Source organism: Homo sapiens, chromosome 11 (genome assembly GCF_000001405.40).
Source record: "Homo sapiens chromosome 11, GRCh38.p14 Primary Assembly".
NCBI classification, from domain to species: domain Eukaryota; kingdom Metazoa; phylum Chordata; class Mammalia; order Primates; family Hominidae; genus Homo; species Homo sapiens.
Window position 1 is genome coordinate 67661992 of NC_000011.10, and position 21991 is coordinate 67683982.

General features: G+C 51.5%; 1 protein-coding gene and 1 pseudogene across 10 annotated transcripts, besides 1 other annotated feature; both read right to left on the reverse strand.

Annotated features, from left to right (window-relative positions):
• ALDH3B2 (aldehyde dehydrogenase 3 family member B2) lies at positions 164–19261 on the reverse strand. 10 transcript variants are annotated; one of them, NM_001354345.3, is made up of 11 exons: positions 12702–12740; positions 12446–12615; positions 5482–5644; positions 4915–5025; positions 4583–4703; positions 4325–4410; positions 4131–4212; positions 3294–3680; positions 2405–2571; positions 1671–1770; positions 164–1408 (listed from the first exon to the last, which is right to left on the reverse strand). In NM_001354345.3, exons 4-11 carry the CDS (start codon positions 4942–4944, stop codon positions 1224–1226), a joined length of 1158 nt encoding a protein of 385 aa, NP_001341274.2. In that variant the 5' UTR covers positions 4945–5025; positions 5482–5644; positions 12446–12615; positions 12702–12740; the 3' UTR covers positions 164–1223. The 10 variants fall into 10 exon arrangements, with proteins under 10 accessions (NP_001341274.2, XP_047282517.1, NP_001026786.3 ...); XM_047426561.1 differs by having other exon boundaries at positions 12445–12615; NM_001031615.3 differs by lacking the exons at positions 12446–12615; positions 12702–12740 and adding an exon at positions 19185–19261.
• Positions 6201–6390: an enhancer, noted in NCBI's record as "active region_5125". NCBI's record gives its function as "activates an Ori minimal core promoter by ATAC-STARR-seq in GM12878 lymphoblastoid cells {active_cell/tissue: GM12878}" and the evidence as "EXISTENCE:reporter gene assay evidence [ECO:0000049][PMID:35858748]".
• Positions 20726–21094, reverse strand: RPL37P2 (ribosomal protein L37 pseudogene 2; annotated as a pseudogene).

A 21991-nucleotide genomic window follows, 5' to 3' on the forward strand; every position in this document is an offset into this window, starting at 1 on the left:
GCTCACGCCTGTAATCCCAGCATTCTGGGAGGCCGAGGTAGACTGCTTGACCCCAGGAGTTCAAGAGCAGCCTGGGCAACATAGTTCTAAATCTGAGATTTCCTTCATGATCAAAGATGGGTGGGAACCCCATTCTGCAAGATAAGTGTCAACCTCAGAAAGATAGGCTCTCCAGAACAGATGAATTTATTTGGGAGGAGCAGAGGATTCCTATCTGGGCTATGAGTGCTTGGAAGGATCCCAGGCATACACAGAGGGCCACAGCCAAGGGGAAGCTTTTAAAGGACAGAAGTCCATGTAAGCAGCTTTTAAACAAGGTTTGTAAGTCACAAGCTGATCGCAGGAGTTGGCGATGGTTTTCTGGTGGAGACGGCCGTGGTAGGTAAGCATCTGCAGCTCATCTGGAATACTACAGTCTTGAGGACGTGCTTTCCATACGCCCTGTGTCTGGTCTACATGCAGGCGTGTCTTGTGATAAATCCTGTTACGGGCATGTGTGTGTGAGGGCTTCTATGTGGCCCCCCGACTCCATTTTATTAGAGTTTGGCATAAGTGACTCCATTTTGGTTCCAGCAACTTTCACATAAGGAAACTGAGGCTCAGAGAAGTCAAGGGACTTGCCCCCAGGTCCCACTAACACTGTGCAGTGGAGTGATGCAAACCCCAGTTTTCCCAGTGGATGGAGCTGCTGTGGGTGAGTGCAGGGTGCGGTGTGAACCAGAGGGGTGGTGCAGAGACCAGTGTGGGATGTGAGAGGATCCCTGGGGGAGGCAGTGCTGGTGCAGTTGGGATGGGGCAGAGATGGAAGTGCGCGTGTGCCTAGAGGGGAGAGCAAAGGCCTGGAGGGCTCCACGCTCTCAACCGTTCAGGGCTGATGCCCCTAAGAAGGCAGGGCACTGTATTTTCCAGGGTGACACTGCCCCTGTGACTGGGTCTGGCCAACCCTGACCGAGAGGGCAAAGGGCTGGAATTGGGGAGGGTGGGGTGAGTGAGGACACCTGGCATGTTCTGCGGCCTCTTGGCCTCTCTCGAGCAGCGTCCCCCAGATAGAAGCAAGACCTTGCTTTGCAGCCCTGGCAGGCAGGATGCAGTCATGTGACAGCTCCAGCAACCTGAGGCTGGGGGAACCTGCGGTCTGGAGGAACAATGTGAGTTGGGAGCATAAGCCCCTCATGGCTAGACTCAGGTTTCTCTGTGTGACCCGTTGGAGGCGGGTGGGACGCTCACAGGAGGGTGCAGCTCTGGGAGCCCATGCCCCAGCGTAACAGCTGCTGGTTCCAGTCGGTATAGGGTGGGTAGTGGATCTCCTTTAATTTCTCCAGGCCGGAGGGGGCGAGCAGGCAGGTGCGGTGGTGGGAGAAGGTGTCGAAGGTGAACTTGCCGTGGTACCGGCCCATCCCACTGTGGCCTGTGTGGGCACAGAGAACAAGGGCCTGAGACCAGGCAGCCCATGGAGCCCCAGCAGCAGCCCACTGCCCCGGCCAGGGCACACAGCTGGCAGGGAGCTCAGAGAGAGCCAGGCCACTCACAGAGCCATTTTACAGATAGGGAAACTGAGGCCTTGAGAGGCCCAGGGTGTGGATCAAGGTTGAACAGTGAGTGAAGGGACTTCCTGGGTCTGGGGTACCAAAGCCAAGCTTCCCTAGGGGTGGAAATGGGCAGGGACCCACCGACTCCCCCGAATGGCACGGACAGCAGAGATATGTAGGTGAAGCCCTCATTGCCTCCAAAGCTGCCGCTGCTGGTCCGCTCCAGCATCTGGTTCACAACCTGCCAGGGAGTGAGAAGGTGGGTGTTGGGCTCTAGTCATGAGAAGAGGGCTTGAGCCCCGCACATTCCACAGCGGAGGTGAGCCTCATCCTCACCTGCCCCTCCACCCTCTAACGGGCAATAATCTCCGCTCTAAGCATCTTCTGGGGACAGCACCCTCTCAGTGACGGTCGGGGTGCCATGGGGGTGATTACCACCATGGCGCAAAGACCAGGAAGCCCTGCAGGATCATGGGGAGCCGGCAGCCTTGAGTCGCGACGGTGAGGTTAGGATGCTGCAGTGTGGTATGCGGGCCCCACCGCGACCCGCTGGGCTCTATCAGGCCCCTGCTCTGCTCTGTCCCTGACCTCCATTCCGGGCCTCTGCTTGCCTGTGCAGAACCTTTGCACAGTCCAAGTGCAGGCTGCTCTGGCCAGGACAGAGGATGGACCCGCTAAGTGTCTGGTGGGTTTGGACCCTGTCCTCTCTGCCAGGCATCCTTGCGCCGGATGCAGTGGTACCAGGTGGCCTAGATATAGTCACCCTTGAGGCATCTGCTGCTCTAAAGCCTTGCTGGGAAGGGCTGTGAAAGGAAAGGTGCCAGTCTGTGCCCCTTTCAGCCCCTCCATTGCCCCCAACCCGGCCGCACCCCCACCTGGCTGCTGTTGGAGAAGGCGTACAGGGCCAGGGGCTTCTCCTGCCGGTTGATGAACTTGATGGCCTCGTCCACGCTCTGCACGTTCACGATGGGCAGGATGGGCCCGAAGATCTCCTCCTGCATCACAGGCTCCGTCTCCTGCACGTCCACCAGCACCGTGGGGGCTGCGGGCACCAGAGACGGCTCAGCCCTGGGGCCACAGTCAGGACTGCCCCCAGGGGTAGGGTAGAGGTGGGGACAGGGGCATGGGCCAGGGCTCCAGGCCAGGATCCCAAGGTCTGACTTCCCAGCGCTTCAGGCTTTGGAGTGTTTAGGGAAGAAAGTTTCCCCACAGCCCCCCAGAAGGGACCCTAGGGCTTCCCCAGCCTGCTCAGGGCCTGTGGGGCGCAGAGAATCCCCCGACCTTGGTCTCACAGTCAGGGGTGATGGGATCTTAGAACCTTGGAGTTCATGAGGCAGCAGCGTCCCAGAATGTTGGAGCTGCAGTGTCCCATGAGCTGCTGAGTCATACGGCCCAGGAGACTGGGGGCTCAGGATGGGGCCGTCAGAGTTTAGAACCTGGGGATCATGGGCTCGGAGAATCAGAGGTTACGGCCTTTCAGGACAGCCGGTGGTGGGATGGGAATTCACCTTAGCACGCTGGGCCCTGGAGCCCTGGAATCTGAGCTCAGTGAATCCAGGGCTGAGGGACCAGAGTATGGCCTCATGGGGCCACAGGCTCAGAAGCACAGAGACGGAATCGTGGCACCAGAGCCATGGCTCAAGGCCGGGCTCTGATAGTGGGGCCGGGTTTCAGGTGCGAGTCCAGACTCGTGGCCCAGCCGTGGGCCCTCCATTGAGAAAGGGTCTTGGCCCAGGTGGGCTGCGGTAGGGCAGCAGGACTCACCGATGTAGCGATCGCTCTCGTTGCTCTGGCCCCCAATGGCCACGCGGCTGCAGCCCAGCAATGCCCGCAGCCGCTGGAACTGTTTCTGGTTGATGATGTGGCCCAGGTTTGGGGAGCTCTGGGGGTCGTCGCCATAGAAACGGGTGATGGTGCTCTGCAGGGCGGGCAGCAGCCTCTCCTGCATCTCGGGGCTGCACAGGACGTAGTCAGGGGCCACGCAGGTCTGGCCGGCATTGAAGTAGCAGAACCAGGCCACGCGGTTGGCCACGGTCTGGGGGTCGCAGTTGTCGTCCACGTAGCAGGGGTTCTTGCCCCCCAGCTCCAGGGTGACAGGCGTCAGGTGCTTGGTGGCAGCAGTCATGACAATCTTGCCCACACGAGGGCTCCCTGGGCGTGGAAGGAAACCAGAGTGGCCAGTCAGTGACCTGGACCAGGCAGGATGGCCCAGCCCAGAGCCTGCTCCTCCCTGGAGAGGTGTTGGAGTCGGCGGGCTTCCTAGGGACATGGTGAGGAGACCCCATCCTCAACTGGCCTTGACCACACACTCCAGGCACCTGACTCTTGCCCGCTTTCTTCATAGAAAGTCCTGGCCCGCCTCACCCTTCTCCTGGCCGGTCTGGCTCACCCACTGGGACCTGCCTCCAGCCTGGCCACTCCTGGATCCAGTTGCTGCAATGTGCCCAGGGCGTGGCCTATGCAGGCAGACGGACTCTGTGCCAGCTCCAGCTCCCCACGTGCCCCCACTGCTGGCCCCAGCCTCCTCCCTCCACAACCCTCCCACCCTCTCTCCTGATGATCCCCTCCACCTACTCTGGGACCCTGGCCTGGCCCCCTCACCTGTGAAGAAGATGTAGTCCAACTTGTGCTCTAGCAGCTGCCCTGTCTCCTGGGGTCCGCCCAGCACCACGGCAAAGCAGCTCTGCAAGGTGGAATGAGAGGCTCGGGGCGGGCTCGGGGCCAGCCGGGCCTCCTCAGCCCACAGGGGTGATATATGGGGACGTCGGGCACTGCTGGGGCAGGGCCACCCTCACCTGGTCCAGGTACTGGGGCAGCACCTCAGCCAGGACCTTCTCTGTGCCCTGGCTGATTTCTGACGGCTTCAGCACCACGCAACTCCCTGCAGGGGCAGATGGGGACGTCGTTGGGGGAGCCCAGGGTCCCCATGCCCAACCAGGGGCTGGGCTCAGAGGGCATGTGAGGCCCAGGGTACCTCAGAGCAAGATTCCAGGGGCCTCTTTGGGAGGGGCTACTGGGCGGGGAGAGCATGGGGTTCGGAACGCCCTCCTCACCTGCGGCGAGGGCGCCCACCAGGAGCACCAGGGTCAGGTTCAGTGGGTAGTTCCAGGGTGCGATGATGAGGACCAGGCCAAAGGGTTCCTTCCAGATGAAGACCGAGTCCAGCTTCATGAACTGAGGCACAGGGTAGACAGTGAGGCCCTGCCAAGGGCCACCCCAAAGCCCACCCACTGCACACTTGGGGCCTCAGCTCCCTGTGCGATGGAATCCCAGGAGAGACGAGAAAATCAGTGACTCGCCCGGGGCCTCAGGGGCAGAAGGGGGCCTGGGCCAGAGCTACCCGGTGCCCTGCCCTGCCCTCCTGCCGCCTGCCAGCAGGGCTCACCAGGTTCGTGGACCGTGGTTCATCCTTCATCCAGGCCTGCAGGTTCTTGAGAGCGTAGTCAACCTCGTTCTGGCAAAGGATGAGCTCAGATATGTCTGCCTCGAAAGCTGGCTGTGGTGGAGGTGGAATTCAGAGTGGTCAGGCCCAGACCTGGGCCAGGAGGGGTCTAGAATTTGAGGAGGGCACACGCAGGCACCACCACCACTGGACATATAAATACAGCTCCTATGGGAGGCACTGCCGTCCCCTGGGAACTGCGCATGGCTGCAATTCTGATCTGTGACTTCCTGGCTGTGTGGCCTTGGGCAAGCGATGTTAACCCCTGAGTGCCTCAGTTTCCTCATCTGCAACATGGGGACAGCCATGGAGCCTGCATCACAGGGTGGCTGTGAGTGTTCAGGAGTGAAGGTCAGGTGCCTGCCACACTCCACATGCCAGGGAGGGGGTCTGTTAAACAAACAGGAATAAAACTAGGGACATAGCCAGTCACTAGGGGGCACGGGCCCTCCTGAAAGAGGACAGGGACGCTGCTCCAGCCCCTGCCGGGGCCCACTCTCCACGGCCCACCTTATGCAGGTCCTGGGCCAGCACGTCGCGCAGAAGCTGCTTGTTTTCTTGAAGGAAGTGGCCCAGGCCCTGGAGCTGCGCAGCCCGGAACTCGGCCGGCCGCGTGCGCCCTCAGTTGAAGGCCTCACGCAGCCGCCGCAGCGTGTCCTCGAAGGGGTCCATCCTGCCGGATGGGGTGGCTTGAACTGGGTGGCCAGGGCTGCCCCTCCTTCACGGGCACCCTCCAGCCACCCCAGGGTCTGCACACCCTTGCCCCACCTGCACCCATGGGGGCTCACAGACACCCCACCTCATACACACACAGACCCACTCGAATGACCCCACGGGGCTGGGGCTGCCTGCACCACCCCCAACTCACCTGCCTCCCAGGTGTGCCCATGAGGGAGGGCCCTGGGCTTGACCTCCCCTACTCCAGGGAGGGGATCCCCCTCCTGGACGCCCACCCTGGAAGCCCAACACACACACCTCGGGTGACCCTGCTGCCCACCATCCCAGCTCTTCCCTGCACCTCCCCTCCTTGCGCAGACACACACCCACCCACGCTGGCACCTTGCCACCCCTACACCCAGACCACTCAGATGGAACAGAGCTCTCCCCTGGGCCTCCCTCCCTTCTGGGACTAAACGAGGGACTCGGAGGGTTCTTTGCTTCAGAGATCACAGAGCTTTGAGGTCGCAGATGGGGAAACTGAAGCCATAGGCATGCCCTAGCCCTGAGGAGGGTTTGGCACCTGCTCTGGGGAGGGGGTGGCACTCTGCTGGTCGTAGAAGGAAGCAGAAGCAGAGGAGAGAGCTCCGGGGCTGGTATGGGTGGGCACAGGTGCAGGTGGGGGTAGGTTGGCAGAGCTGAGACTGCCCCAGGGCATGAACCCCTCTGGGCTTTAGCCTGAGGGCCCAAGGGAACCCCAGTGGGGTCTGGAGAGGAGGAAGGATCAGGACCCTGGGGGTGGGGGAAGGGGCTCAGGGGGACACTCAAGAGGATTGCCAGGCACCTAGCAACGGGATTCTGAGCATCCCAGCCCAGGGGCTCAAGAATGGTGCGCAAATCCTGTGTCTTTGTGTATCCGTGTGTCTGTGTGTGTCTTTGTGTATCCGTGTGTCTGTGTGTTTCTTTGTGTCTGTGTGTCTTTGTATAGCTTTGTGTCTTTGTGTGTCTATGTGTGTGTGTGTGTATGGCTGTCTGTCTTTGTGTGTGTATGGGTGTCTGTGTGTGTCTGTGTATGTATGGGTACTGTGTGTCTTTGTGTGTATGGGTGTCTGTGTGTGTCTGTGTATGTATGGGTGCTGTGTGTCTTTGTGTGTATGGGTGTCTGTGTGTGTCTGTGTATGTATGGGTGCTGTGTGTCTTTGTGTGTATGGGTGTCTGTGTGTGTCTGTGTATGTATGGGTGCTGTGTGTCTTTGTGTGTATGGGTGTCTGTGTGTGTATGGGTGCTGTGTGTCTGTATGTGTATGGGAGTCTGTGTGTATGGGTGTGTGTATGTGTGTATGGGTGTCTGTGTCTCTTTGTGTGTATGGGTGTCTGTGTGTGTATGTGTATATGGGTGTCTGTGTCTCTTTGTGTGTATGGATGTCTGTGTCTCTGCGTGTATGGGTGTCTGTGTGTCTTCGTGTGTCCGTGTGTCTTTGTGTGTCTGTGTGTCTTTGTGTGGGTGTCTGTGTTTCTTTGTGTGTCTGTGTGTCTTTGTGTTCTGTGCATCTTCATGTGTATGGCTATGTGTGTGTCTGTGTCTTTGTGTGCCTTTCTGTGTATGGGTGTCTGTGTGTGTGTGTCTGTGTGTGTATGGATGTCTGTGTGTGTGTATGGGTGTTTGTGTATGGATGTCTGTGTGTCTGTGTCTGTATGGGTGTCTGTGTATGTATCAGTGTCTGTGTGTCTATGGGTGTCTGTGTGTCTGTGTGTGTATGGGTGCTGTGTCCATGTGTGTCTGTGTATGGGTGCTGTATGTGTGTGGGTGTGTGTGTCCATGTGTGTCTGTGTGTGTATGGATGTCTGTGTGTGTATGGGTGTTTGTGTATGGATGTCTGTGTGTCTGCGTGTGTATGGGTGTCTGTGTATGTATCAGTGCCTGTGTGTCTATGGGTGTCTGTGTGTCTGTGTGTCTGTGTGTGTATGGGTGCTGTGTCCATGTGTATCTGTGTATGGGTGTTATATGTGTATGGGTGTGTGTGTCCATGTGTGTCTATGTGTGTATGGGTGTGTCTGTATGTGTATGGGTGTCTGTGTGTGTATGGGTGTCTGTGTGCGTATGGGTGTCTGTGTGTGTATGGGTGTCTGTGTCCACGTGTGTCTGTGTGTGTATGGGTGTCTGTGTGTGTATGGGTGTGTGTGTCCACGTGTGTCTGTGTGTGTATGGGTGTCTGTGTGTGTATGGGTGTGTGTGTCCACGTGTGTCTGTGTGTGTATGGGTGTCTGCGTATGGGTGTGTGTGTCCACGTGTGTCTGTGTGTGTATGGGTGTCTGCGTATGGGTGTGTGTGTCCACGTGTGTCTGTGTGTGTATGGGTGTCTGTATGTGTATGGGTGTGTGTGTCCACGTGTGTCTGTGTGTGTATGGGTGTCTGTGTGTGTATGGGTGTCTCTATGTGTATGGGTGTGTGTGTCCACATGTGTCTGTGTGTGTATGGGTGTCTGTGTGTGTATGGGTGTCTGTGTGTGTGTATGGGTGTCTGTGTGTGTATGGGTGTCTGTGTCCACGTGTGTCTGTGTGTGTATGGGTGTCTGTGTGTGTATGGGTGTGTGTGTCCACGTGTGTCTGTGTGTGTATGGGTGTCTGTGTGTGTATGGGTGTGTGTGTCCACGTGTGTCTGTGTGTGTATGGGTGTCTGTATGCGTATGGGTGTGTGTGTCCATGTGTGTCTGTGTGTGTATGGGTGTCTGTGTCCATGTGTGTCGTGTGTGTGTCTGCGTGTGGACTTGAGTAATCTCAGCCCTCAGCTGCAGGTCACAGGGCCGTGCCCAGGGCTGCTGCCTCAGACCCGCATTGCTGAGGGCAGTGGGGGTGGGTGGTGAGCAGGGCCTTGGCATCCCCAGTGAGTGTCCTGGAGGCCAGTGGCCCCATCTGCACTTGCACCGCACCAGGCATTCTTGTCATATGTGATGCAGGGACAGTGCTCGCCCATGGACAGAGCCAGCTGAACCAATGGCAGAAGTCCGTGTCTTGTGAATGACAAGATGAGGAGAGCAGCCCCTGCCCGGCTCAGGTCCCAGCTGAAGAATGTGAGGAGACAGGAAGCCATGCTGGGCACCTTCCTGGCCACACCTGCAGATGCCGCCTCCCTCCCCTGGGCAGCGTGATCACATTCCTGGCACAGGACCCCCACACTCAGTGTGCGGCCCCCCTGCATGAGGGCCTGGAGGAGGACGCAGCATACAGGGCTCTGCAAATATTCATCTACTGTCTTTGCTCAAGCCCTTGGGCTAGAACCTGGGTGGGGCCTGGGCCCTTCTCTGGTAGCGGGCGGTATTGGCCTGGAGCGCTTCCAGGTCCCAGGTTCCAGGGCCCTGACCCAAAGCTTTGCCTGGCATGCGAGCGTCAGCAGCCTCCACCCGGCGCTCAAGCAGCTCCTGGCCACATCAGCTCAGCTCTAACCTCTTCCATGGCTCCCTGGTGCCTTTGGAGGGATGACCGCCTCCGGCCTGAATCAAGACCCGGATTGGAGGAGTCTGGGATGAGCTATGGCACACAGGTGTCCTGATGTTCATCCCAGGAACCTGGCCTCAGCGTGGTCACAGCTTTCCCAGGTGAGGCAGGTGGGGCAGAGGAACCCCTGCCCTTTCTGGGCAGTCGTCGCCTGTCCTCACATGTGCACATCTGGTGCTCGGTGAAATAATCACGGAGCCAGCAGCATCTGCCTGACGGATGAGGAAACAGATGGGGGCTGGAGCTGGACCCAAGCCCTGCCTCTCATGCAAGGTGCTTTCTTGTCTCGCCCACCTGCTGCAGGGCAGGGGTCCGGGCGCTTGCTGGGGCAGGGCTGACTGGTGTGAAAGGAAAATATCTTGGACCCCCAAAATCAGTAAGCTAAAAGGAAAATTCAAGCTGGAAACTGATCAGGGCCAACCTGCCTCCCCCCCCTTTTTTTTTTTTTTTGGAACGGAGTTTCGCTCTTGTTGCCCAGGCTGGAGTGCAATGCTGCGATCTCAGCTCACCGCAACCTCTGCCTCCCAGGTTCAAGTAATTCTTCTGCCTCAACCTCCCGAGTAGCTGGGATTACAGGCATGCACCACCACGCCCAAATAATTTTGTATTTTTAGTAGAGATGGGGTTTCTCCATGTTGAGGCTGGTCTTGAACTCCTGACCGCAGGTGATCCGCCCACCTTGGCCTCCCAAAGTGCTGGGATTACAGGCATGAGCCACCGTGCGGGCCCCTGCCTCTCATTTTATTCACAGCCACCCCTCTGCCCACCGAGATAGATGCACATTCTGATTGCCTCCTTTGGAAAGGCTCATCAGAAACTCAAAAGAATGCAGTCTCTCACCTACCTGTGACCTGGAAGCTGCCCCAACCCTCACCCCCACCCCCTGCTTCAAGCTGTCCCTGCCTTTCTGGATGGAACCGATGTACTTCATATATATATATATATATATATATATATATATATATATATATATATGTATGTATGTATTTTGTGTGTGTGTGTGTGTGTGTGTGTGTGTGTGTATATATATATGTATTTTTTTTTTTTTTTTGAGACAGACTTTCTCTCTTGTTGCCCAGGCCAGAGTGCAGTGGTGGGATCTCAGCTCACTGCAATCTCCATCTCCCGGATTCAAGCGATTCTCCTGCCTCAGCCTCCCGAATAGCTGAATAGCTGGGATTATAGGTGCCTGCCACCATGCCCGGCTAATTTTATATTTGTAGTAGAGACGGGGTTTCACCATGTTGGTCAGGCTGGTCTCAAACTCCCGACCTCAGGTGATCCCTGCCTTGGCCTCCCAAAGTGCTAGGATTACAGGCGTGAGCCACCGTGCCTGGCCTTCTTACATATATTGATTGCTGTCTCCTGTCTCCCTAAAGTGTGTAAACCAAGCTGTGTCCCGACCACCTTGGGCACATGCTGTCAGGACATCCCCAGGCTGTGTCACAGGTGCACGTCCTCAACCTTGGCAAAATTAACTTTTTTTTTTTTTTAAGATGGAGTCTCATTCTGTCACCCAGGCTGGAGTGCAACTGGCATGATCTCGGCTCACTGCAACCTCTGCCTCCCAGGTTCAAATGATTCTCCTGCCTCAGCCTCCCGAGTAGCTGGTATTATAGGCATGCGCCCCCATGCCCAGCTAATTTTTATAATTTTTAGTAGGGACAGGATTTCACCATGTTGGCCAGGCTGGTTTCAAACTCCTGTCCTCAAGTGATGCACCTGCCTCAGCCTCCTAAAGTGCTGGGATTACAGGCATGAGTCACCACGCCTGGCCACAAAATGAACTTTCTTTCTTTCTTTTCTTTTCTTTTCTTTTCTTTTTTTTTTTTTTTGAGACGGAGTCTCACTCTGTTGCCCAGGCTGGAGTGCAGTGGTGCGATCTCAGCTCACTGCAAACTCCGCCTCCCGGGTTCACGTCATTCTCCTGCCTCAGCCTCCCGAGTAGCTGGGACTACAGGTGCCCGCCACCACACCCAGCTTATTTTTTGTGTTTTTAGTAGAGACGGGGTTTCACCGTGCTAGCCAGGATGGTCTCGATCTCCTGACATCGTGATCCGCCCGCCTCGGCCTCCCAAAGTGCTGGGATTACAGGCAAAATAAACTTTATAAATTAACTGAGACCCGTCTCAGATTTTCTGGGTTTACACTGGGGACCTCTGGCTGCTCACCAGGCAGTTCCTGACTGGACCTGGGTCCCATAGGTGACCACCCCAGACTTGGCCAGCCCCCATGGAGCTCACAGTCTACACACGGAACAATGACACCGGAAACAATATCATTACAAACATGATCGGTGGGCCAGGGCTTCTTCCAGAGGTGGCCAGAGACCCACCCCTGGCTCTGACTGCTGCGGGGAAGCCGTAGGGGAGGGCCTCTTGGAGGGCAGGTGATCTGGACAGAGGGACCAACGTGTGCAAAAGCCCTGTGGGGGCAGATGCTGAGAAATAAGACACACAGGAAGGTGGAGGCCTGATGGGACCTGTCATATGGAGAGGGGACTCATTCCCTTGGCAGTGGCCATGCCTGGTGCAGGGCCCAGAAAGAAGTCAGAGCTGGCATCTGGGGCCAGGTAGCTGGCATGCACATCTCATCTGAGCCTCACAGCTATTATTATTACCCAGTTGGAAGGACAGGGAAACCGAGGCTCCCAGAGACGACTTGATTTGCCCTCCTCACAGCCTCAGTGCGAGGAGGGAGGCCCCCCAGCCCCTCTCCTCACACCAGCCTTGTGACACCATGTGCCAATGTGTGCCTCGTGCCTTTCACTGTCTTCTCAACATCTTCCTGCAGCTTCCAGACTTTCTAAATGCGAATGTAGTATTTCTAGAACCAGAAACAAGCAATGCATGTTGCTTTTAACATCTGAAACCAAAGATCCGACTTTCGCTTCAACTGCCAAGAATCTCTCTGCTTCCAATCCCCGATTCTCCGGCACCTCCTGATCACAGCCCTGGTGCCCCCGACCCAATCCTTGTCTGTCCACAGAGCTGCCTTCTCCTCTAACCTGGGAGCTCCTCAAAGGGAGGACGGGGTCTGTCCCCATCCCTGGGGCTCCTGGGGAACAGGCTTCATTTCTGTGGCTGCTTCCCAGGAGCCTGCCAAAGGGCAAAGTGAGGCTCAGAAGACACCAGCACCCACCTCCCTCTCCTGAGCAAGCCCCGTACCCATGGCCCCTGCAGCCATAGGCCCCTTGGTGGGCTTGCCCCCTGACCCACGGGCCATGGGCACACATCCCCTTCCCTCCATGCCCCTGGTTCCCACCAGTGTCCTTTACCCTGAGCTCCCTCTGCCCGCCCCTCACCCCTGTGGCCCCACATAACCCAGCGTGGGCTCTGCCCCTGGGTCCTTCGCTGCACCTCCACTCCCTTTCTTGGACATGCTGCCTCCAGATGCGCAGGCTCTGCTCCTACCCCCAGGCCTCAGCCCTGCTCTGCTGACTGCGATCCTCCCAGGAGACTGGCAGCTCCCAAACCAACTCCCGTGCCCACGCCTGGCAATGGGGTAATCAATGGGGTGATGCTCAGTGTTACCCAACAGGCGTGGGGCAGGGCTGCACCTCCCAATTCCCATGCCTACCCTTGTCTCACTGCCAGGACCTATAGCTGCTCGGTGTCTGCCCTGTTCTTCCAGGGCCCTGCCCCCAGGGACCACACTGCACAGCCGGCTTGGGAACAGGTTAGACAAGTCAAGGCTGTCTGAGGCTTTGCTCTGTGTTTCCTGGAATGGGCTAGCAGGGAGTTACCTGATCAGGAAAAAAGAACCCCAGGGGAAGGTCACAGGATGAAAATATCAGCAGGATCCTGGTGGCAAATGCTGCCTTCGCCAGGAAGTCCTCCCAGGCCCCAGCCACAGTGGTCCCATGCCCCCCATGGCCCCTCCTAGGGTCTCTATGCTAAATCTTCATCTCCCTCCTCTCCTGTCCTCACTCTTCAGGCTTCACAGGTCAAGATGAGCAACTGTGGCTCTATTTCCACTCTCAGTGTGCCCAGCTGGCATACTCAGGGCAGAGGAAGGGGCTCAGATCTTTGCAGAGAGACCCTTGATGGGCGACGGCACCTGTAGCTCTAGGATGGCGCATTGTTCATTGGTTTATTTATTTACTGTGCAACCGTGGGTAGGTTACTTAACGTCTCTGAGCCTTTCGGAAGTAACAATAACACCTAATTGCCATGGTTCTTGAGAGGGTCACAGAGGGAGACGTGAGAATGGAAAAGGCAGATCACAGCTCCTGGCACAAAATCAGTGCCCCTCAATGTTGCCCGCTAATGTTTCCACAAGTATTTGCTGAGCACCTTCTAGGTTCCAGGGAGCAGAATGAGCTCAGGTCCTGCCACTGTCCTTCATGGATGGCCTGACTCTGTCCCCACCCCACCTTCCCCCAAGCCTGAGACCAAGGACACGCCCTGCTGAGGGCTGTAGAGAGTCTCTTGGCAGAGTGTGCAGCCCTGTGGGCAGGAGGGACATCTGAGATAACCCTTGGTTGTGACTGGAGACAGCCCAGCGGAGGCCACAGCCTGAGACCAAGCCCTGGCCCTGGAATCTTCGGTAGCTAAAGATGTAAATGCCAATGTGACACCAGGAAGGGACCTCGGGATGGGGAAGGGAATACAGGGCAGAATGCTAAGGCCCATCTAAGAGCAGCAGATGGGTTATGGCCACTGGGGAGGCCCACTGCCTCCAAACCACTGAATTGTACACTGTAAATGGGTGAGTTGTATGGGATGTGAATGCTATCTCAATAAGCTGTTTTGTTTTGTTTTGTTAAACTGAACTGACAAGAAGCCTGAATAGACGTAAATAAATTAAAATATGCTCAACCTCAGTAGCAATTGTTAAAATGTAAAATAGGTCGGGTGCGGTGGCTCATGCCTGTAATCCCAGCACTTTGGGAGGCCGAAGCTGGTGGATCACTTGAGGTTAGGAGTTCCAGAACAGCCTGGCCAACATGGTGAAACCCTGTCTCTACTAAAAATACAAAAAATTAGCCAGGCGTGGTGGCATGTGCCTGTAATCCCAGCTACTCGGGAGGCTGAGGCAGGAGAATTGCTGGAACCTAGGAAGCAGAGGTTGCAGTGAGCTGAGAGCACACCATTGCACTCCAGCCTGGGCAACAAGAGAAAAATGAAATTATATCAGGCATGTTCTTAGACCACGGTGGAATAAAACTGGAAATCAACTCCAAAAAGAACCTTCAAAACCATGCAAATAACTGGAAATTAAATAACCTGCTCTTGAATGAGCATTGGGTCAAAAACAAAATCAAGATGGAAATTAAAAAATTCTTCAAACTGAATGACAACAGTGACACAACCTATCAAAACCTCTGGGATACAGCTAAGGCTGTGCTAAGAGGAAAGTTCATAGCCCTAAATGCCTACATCAAAAAGTCTGAAAGAGCACAGACAATCTAAGATCACACCTCAAGGAACAGAGGAACGAGAACAATCCAAACCCAAACCAAGCAGAAGAAAGGAAATAACCAAGATTAGAGCAGAACTAAATGAAATTGAAACAGAAAAAATATACAAAAGGTAAATGAAACAAAAACTTGTTCTTTGAAAAGATAAATAAAATTGATAGATCATTTGCAAGATTAACCAAGAAAAGAAGAGAGAAAATCCTAATAAACTCACTGAGAAATGAAACAGGAGATATTACAACTGACACCACTGAAATATAAAAGAGCATTCAAGGCTATGGTGAACACCTTTACACACATAAACTAGAAAACCTAGAAGCAATGGTTACATTCCTGGAAAAATACAACCCCCCTAGTTTAAATCAGGAAGAATTAGATACCCTGAACAGGCCAATAACAAGCAGCGGGATGGAAGTGGTAATTTTAAAATTACCAACAAAAAAAAAGTCCAGGACCAGAAGGATTCACAGCAGAATTTTACCAGACAGTCAAAGAAGAATTGGTACCAATCCTTTTGACACTATTCCACAAGATAGAGAAAGAAGGAGCCCTCCCTAATTCATTCTATGAAGCCAGCATCATCCTAATACCAAAACCGGGAAAGGACACAACCAAAAAAGGAAATGACAGACTGATATCCTTGATGAACATAGATGCTAAAATCCTTAACAATATACTAGCTAACCGAATTCAACACCATATCAAAAAGATAATCCTCCATGATCAAGTGGGTTTCATACCAGAGATGCAGGGGTGGTTTAACGTAGGAGGGTCAATAAATGTGATGCATCACATAACCAGAATTAAAAATGAAAATCACATGATCATCTCAATAGATGCAGAAAAAGCATTTGACAAAATCCAGCATCCTTTTATGATTAAAACCCTCAGCAAAATCAGTATACAAGGGACATATCTTAATGTAATAAAAGCCATCTATGACAAAACCACAGCCAACATAATACTGAACGGGAAAAAGTTGAAAGGCTTCCCGCAGAGAACCGGAACAAGACAAGGATGCCCACTCTCACCACTCCTCTTCAACATATTACTGGCAGTCCTAGCCAGAGCAATCAGATGAGAAAAAGAAATAGGGGCATCTGAATCGATAAAGAGGAAGTCAAACTGTCCCTGTTTGCTGATGATATAATTGTTTACCTTGAAAACCCTGAGGACTCCTCCAGAAAGATCCTAAAACTGATAAAAGAATTCAGCAAAGTTTCTGGATACAAAATTAATGTACACAAATCAGTAGCTCTTCTATCCACCAACAGCGACCAAGCAGAGAATCAAATCAAGAATTCAATCCCTTTGACGATAGCAAAAAAACAAACAAAAAAACAAAACAAAACAACTTTAGAATATACCTAAAAAAGAAGTCGAAAGACCTCTAAAGGAAAACTACAAAACACTGCTAAAAGAAATCATAGATGACACAAACAAATGGAAACACATCCCATGCTCATGGATGGGTAGAATCAGTATTGTGAAGATGGCCATACTGCCAAAAGCAATCTACAAATTCAACACAATCTCCATCAAAACACCACCATCTTTCTTCACAGAGTTAGAAAAAACAATTCTAAACTTCATATGGAACCAAAAAAGAGCCCGCACAGCAAAAGCAAGACTAAGCCAAAAGAACAAATCTGGAGGCATCATACTACCTACCTGATTTCAAACTATACTCTAAGGCCATAGTCACCAAAACAGTGACATATCGGTGTAAAACTAGGCACACAGACCAATGGAACAGAATAGAGAACCCAGAAATAAACCCAAATACTTACAGGCAGCTGATCTTCAACAAATAAACAAAAACATAAAGTGGGGAAAGGACACCCTTTTCAACAAATGGTCCTGGGATAATTGGCTAGCCACATGTAGGAGAATGCAACTGGATCCTCATCTCTCACCTTACACAAAAATCAACTCAGGATGGATTAAGGACTTAAACCCAAGAGCTGAAACTATACAAATTCTAGGAGATGACATTGGAAAAACCCTTCTAGACATTGGCTTAGGCAAGGATTTCATGACCAAAGAAACTATGATATATATATACACACACACAGTACTGTGTATATATATACTATGGTACATATATATATATATACACTATGATATATATATACACACACACTATGGTGTATATATACACACTATGGTGTCTATATATATATATATACACGCTATGGCATATATATACATACTATGATATATATACACGCTATGGTATATATATACATACTATGGTATATATATACACTAATGGTATATATATATATATGTTTGAATACTACTCAGCTATAAAAAGAAATGAATTAACAGCATTTGCAATGATCTGGATGAGATTGGAGGCTATTATTCTAAGTGAAGTAACTCAGGAATGGAAAGCCAAACATCGTATGTTTTCACTGATATGTGGGAGCTAAGCTATGAGGACGCAAAGCATAAGAATGATACAATGGACTTTGGGGACTTGGAGGGAAGAGTGGGAAGGGGGTGAGGGATAAAAGACAACAAGTATGGTGCAGTGTATACTGCTCAGGTGATGGCTGCACCAGGATCTCACAAATCACCACTAAAGAATTTACTCATGTAACCAAATACCACCTGTATCCCAATAACTTATGGAAAAAAAATCAGGGGCCAGGTGCAGTGGCTCACATCTGTAATTCCAGCACTTCGGGAGGCTGAGGTGGACGGATCACTTGAGGTCAGGAGTTCAAGACCAGCCTGACCAACATGATGAAACCCCGTCTCTACTAAAAATACAAAAAAAATTAGCCATGCATTGTGGCGTGCACCTGTAATCCCAGTTACTTGGGAGGCTGAGGCAGGAGAATTACTTAAATCTGGGAGGTGGAGGTTGCAGTGAGCTGAGATCTCACCGTAGCACTCCAGCCTGGGTGAAAGAGCGAGACTCCATCTCAAAAGAAAAAAAAAAGAAAAAAAACAAAGCCAGGCACAGTGGCTCATGCCTGTAATCCCAGCAGTTTGGGAGGTGGAAGTGGGAAGATCACTAGGTCAGGAGATCAAGACCATCCTAGCTAACACAGTGAAACCCTGTCTCTACTAAAAATACAAAAAATTAGCTGGGCATGGTAGCAGGCACCTGTAGTCCCAGCTACTTGGGAAGCTGAGGCAGGAGAATGGCGTGAAAAAAAAAAAAGTAAGAACCTTTAAGTTACATTTCAGAAGGCACACCATTCCCATCAAACCAAATTAATAAGAGCCTATATGACCAATCAAATCTTGCTGCATTTTGTGCGAAAAAATCAGGCCAAGTATAATAAGCCTAAAACTTATTTTGCACATAAATTGGTCTTACTATAATTTCTCTCTGGTACAAAAGGAGGGCTAGAAAGAGAAATTCTTTCAAAGGAAAATTATAACACTTATTACTAGATTCCAGCCCTGACTTTTGTTTTTGAGTGCAGATTGAATCATGAATTATCTCTTGGCTACAATAAGCCTCTAAAGAACCAGATTAGAGGCCAGGCATGGTGTCTCATGCCTGTAATCCCAGCACTCTGGGAGGCCGAGGTGGGTGGGTCACGAGGTCAGGAGTTTGAGACCAGCCTGACCAACATGATGAAACCCCATCTCTACTAAAGATACAAAAATTAGCCGGGCGTGGTGATGCGCACCTGTAATCCCAGCTACTCAGGAGGCTGAGGCAGGAGAATCACTTGAACCAGGGAGGTGGAGCTTGCAGTAAGCCGAGATTGCACTACCACACTCCAGCCTGGGTGACAGAGTGAGACTCCATCTCAAGAAAAAAGAGTACCAGATTATAATTTTTCTTCATATTTTCAGTTGGTGCCCTGATGGAATAGATTCCTTTGTCTGTTCTGACACACAAATACTCTTAATTGTCAAATTATTATCATTATGATTGAGACAGAGTATCTATCACCCAGGCTGGAGTGCAGTGGCAAGATCTTGGCTCACTGCCACCTCTGCCTCCTGGGCTCAAGAAATCCTCCAGCCTCGGCCTCCTGAGTAGCTGGGACTACAGGCACACACCACCAGGCTCTGCTAATTTTTGTATATTTTTTAGAGACAGGGTTTTGCCATGTTGCCAAGGCTGGTCTCAAACTCCTGGGCTCAAGTGATCCACCTGCCTCGGCTTCCCAAAGTTCTAGGATTACAGATGTGAGCCACCGCACCTGGCCAATTGTCAAATTGTTAATGTTATTTATCTCTCCTTGTTTTACCTCCAAGGAAAGCAGAATCATGGCATTCTGAAGACTAGAGATGCTAACCTCTCTCATTTGGCACCCCACTGGGCCCAATTTGCTTTTTACTGCAAATGCCCTGCTGTTGAAACTATACAAGCACCCTCCCTCTGGGCCCAGGGACTGTTGTGGAAGAGGTGGGCACGTGACATTGTAAGGGCAGGGTTTGAGGGATATTGTTAGCTCAGATCCTCCAAATCAAGGATGGGTACACAAATGCCTAAACAGCTGGGCAAAGGACAAAGGGACTTTTGACTTCTGAGCCAATGTGTGGCACTGTATTAGTCTGTTCTCACACTGCTAATAAAGACATACCTGAGACTGGGTAATTTATAAAGGAAAGAGGTTTAATTGACTCACAGTTTAGCATGGCTAGGGAGGTCTCAGGAAACTTACAGTTATGGTGGAAGGGGAAGCAACCACATCCTTCTTCACATGGTGGCAGGAAGGGGAAAAATGAGAGCTGAGCAGAGGGAAGCCCCTTATCAAACCATCAGAACTTGTGAGAACTTACTCACTATCACGAGATTAGCATGGGGCAAACTGCCCCCATAATTCTATTACCTCCCACCAGGTCACTCCCACCACACATGGGGATTATGGGAACCACAGTTCAAGATGAGATTTGGGTGGGGACACAGCCAAACCATACAGGCACTTTTTTATCCATTCCCAACCACAAAGAATTTTCTGCTTCCTGTAGAATTAAAAGACAATTTTTACGGAGAGGATACAAAGATCCTCCTAGACAAAGCCTCCTGGGCATAATACTCCTAGTTAGGAGATTTATGCAGATAGATATATATTTTTAAAAGTTTTACCAGCCATCTTAGAACAAATTACTAGAAGGCCACAAAAAGCACTGCAGCACCACAAAAGTATCTAAATTCCTTAGCTTAAAAGGTTATAGTAATGCTTATGTTTTGCTATAAGTTAATTGCTATAAGTCTATAACTAAAACCAAGATTACAGTAGCTCAACACATAGAAATTAAAGATAGATAAAGTTATTGCGGGATCTGGCCAGCAGCCCGCAATGCAATGGGGCTCTCTCTTTGTTCCCAGGCAGATTGGCAGGTCGAAAAATAATAAACACACACAAGATAGTGAAAGCTGGGTCCGGGGGGGTCACTGCCTTCTGGTCCTGCAGTGCCAACAATGCACTGGATATACCAGCATTTATTATTAAGTTTAGTGAGGGCGGGGGTAGGTTAGTGCGGGATTTAGGGTCATTTGATTATGAGGTGAGATGGTCACATGGGGATGAAGTAATTCTTTAACATAACATCTGTATGCAGAAGTACAGTATACAGGGATAAGAATTTATAATATAGCGTGTGCATCAGTAATTTCTAACAGAGCCTAAAAACAGAAACACAGGCTTTCCATAACCTATGATTAGCAAGATATTAATCAGCGGTAACAGTTGCAGCAAAAGCTGGTTACAAACAATCTGTAGAAACAGGACGTGAAGCTAGACAACCGGTTAGACCAGAAATTCTCAGAAGGGAGTGTGCCTTAACCCTAAAGAGGCCTAGAAGAGCCATGGCAAGATGAGGGCATTTTTAGCCCTATCTTATCCATATGGACAGGGGCCCCTCATGTGTCCATTTATAGGCTCTCTACAAGGGTCGCATTCCATTCCCAGAGCTATGAACATCTGCTTTTCTGGGATAGGAATCTTGGTGATGTGAAACCTCCCTGACTGCATATCCATTCATAGGCTCTCTGCCGGGGGAAGCACATCACGCGCTGTTGGCTCATTCTGGCAGTCCAACCTGGCATTGTCTTTACACAATCCTGCATGCAACTTTGTGTTTACAATAATCAGGAGCATTTCATCTTTTATTCTGTAGCAATAGTTTCAAGGGGTCTCCTTACATAAAGTCAATTTTATAACCTCACCTTTGGCTTTTATTTTATTTTATTTTATTTTTTTATTTTTTAAAACCAGAACATTTATTGCATGACTAATTGTTGACATTCTTAAGATGAACTGGATGCTGCAACAGCTGCCCTCTTGGGTTTAGGTGTTGTTCCTTCACGGAATCCATGCCTGAATCTGTGTTATACAATTTTTAGGTGCCTCATTCGACCAGTTCTGGTGGTTTTTCATCTTTTAGCCTTGGCACTCCAGTTATACTTTCTCTTGCGCTTGGCAGAGTAGCCACATTTGCCACAGGTCGACTTCTGAAGGTGGTAGGCCTCAGAGCCACAGCAGCGGCACAACGTGTGTGTCTTATTGCGATGCTTTCCAAACGATGATGCTCCCTTCGTCATCTCGCTTCTGCGGCCGAGACCAGAAAGTGGCTTTTTGTTTGTACACAAAAATTTTCCAGGCACGGTGGTGCACACCTATGGTCCCAGGTACTTGGGAGGCTGAAGTGGGAGGATTTCTTGAGCCCGGGAGGCAGAAGTTGCAGTGAGCCGAGATCATGCCACTGCACTCCAGCCTGGGTGGCAGAGTGAGACCTCGTCTCAAAAAACCAAACCAAAACAAAAAAAGTTAATGAATGCCTGTTCACATCCATCTTTCCTAGAACATTTAAATTGGCTATAAATCTTTGACTCTATGTCTCTTGGCCATATGTAGTCCCACCAAGGGACAGGATGGACCTGGGGCAGGCAGCCTTGCTGCCCTGGCAATGCCAGGGAATAAAATAAAAGTTTTGGTGGCCATTGATCTTGCCTCTGGCAAATCTTGGCCAGAAGGGGAAGACAATAAACCAGAAATAAAATTCTAAAACACCCAACCATCTAAATTGACCCCTCCTCTCAGCCAAGGGCATTCTAACCTTAACCTGAAAAACTATTTCAGGCCAAGATGGGAAGCAGGGGCCAGACATGCCTCGTTATACCCTCCTCCCTTTTGGACTTACTGATAGAACACACTCTTAAGTCTGGTAAGAAACATTCACGATCTATTATCTTTCAAGCCTGCTACCTGGAGGATTCATCTGCATGATAAAATCTTGGTCTCCACAACCTCGCTGGAGTGCAGTGGCATGACCTTGGCTCACTGCAAGCTCCATCTCCCAGGTCCAAGTGATTCTCTTGCCTCAGTCTCCCAAGTACCTGGGACTACAGCCATGCACCACCACGCACAGCTCATTTGCTTTTTTTCTGGAGGCAAGGTCTCGCTATGTTACCCAGGCTGGTTCCAAACTCTTGAGCTCAAGCGATCCTCCTGCCTCAGCCTCCCAA

Excerpts from the sequence above, each read along its gene's own strand:
- ALDH3B2 (NM_001031615.3), bottom strand. The coding sequence starts at position 4,944 with ATGAAGGATGAACCACGGTCCACGAACCTG. Across the intron at positions 1,771-2,404 it reads CCTTCTCCAACAGCAGCCAG|GTTGTGAACCAGATGCTGGA; the intron begins GTGGGGGTGCGG and ends ACTCCCTGGCAG. Across the intron at positions 1,409-1,670 it reads CGTGCCATTCGGGGGAGTCG|GCCACAGTGGGATGGGCCGG; the intron begins GTGGGTCCCTGC and ends GTGCCCACACAG.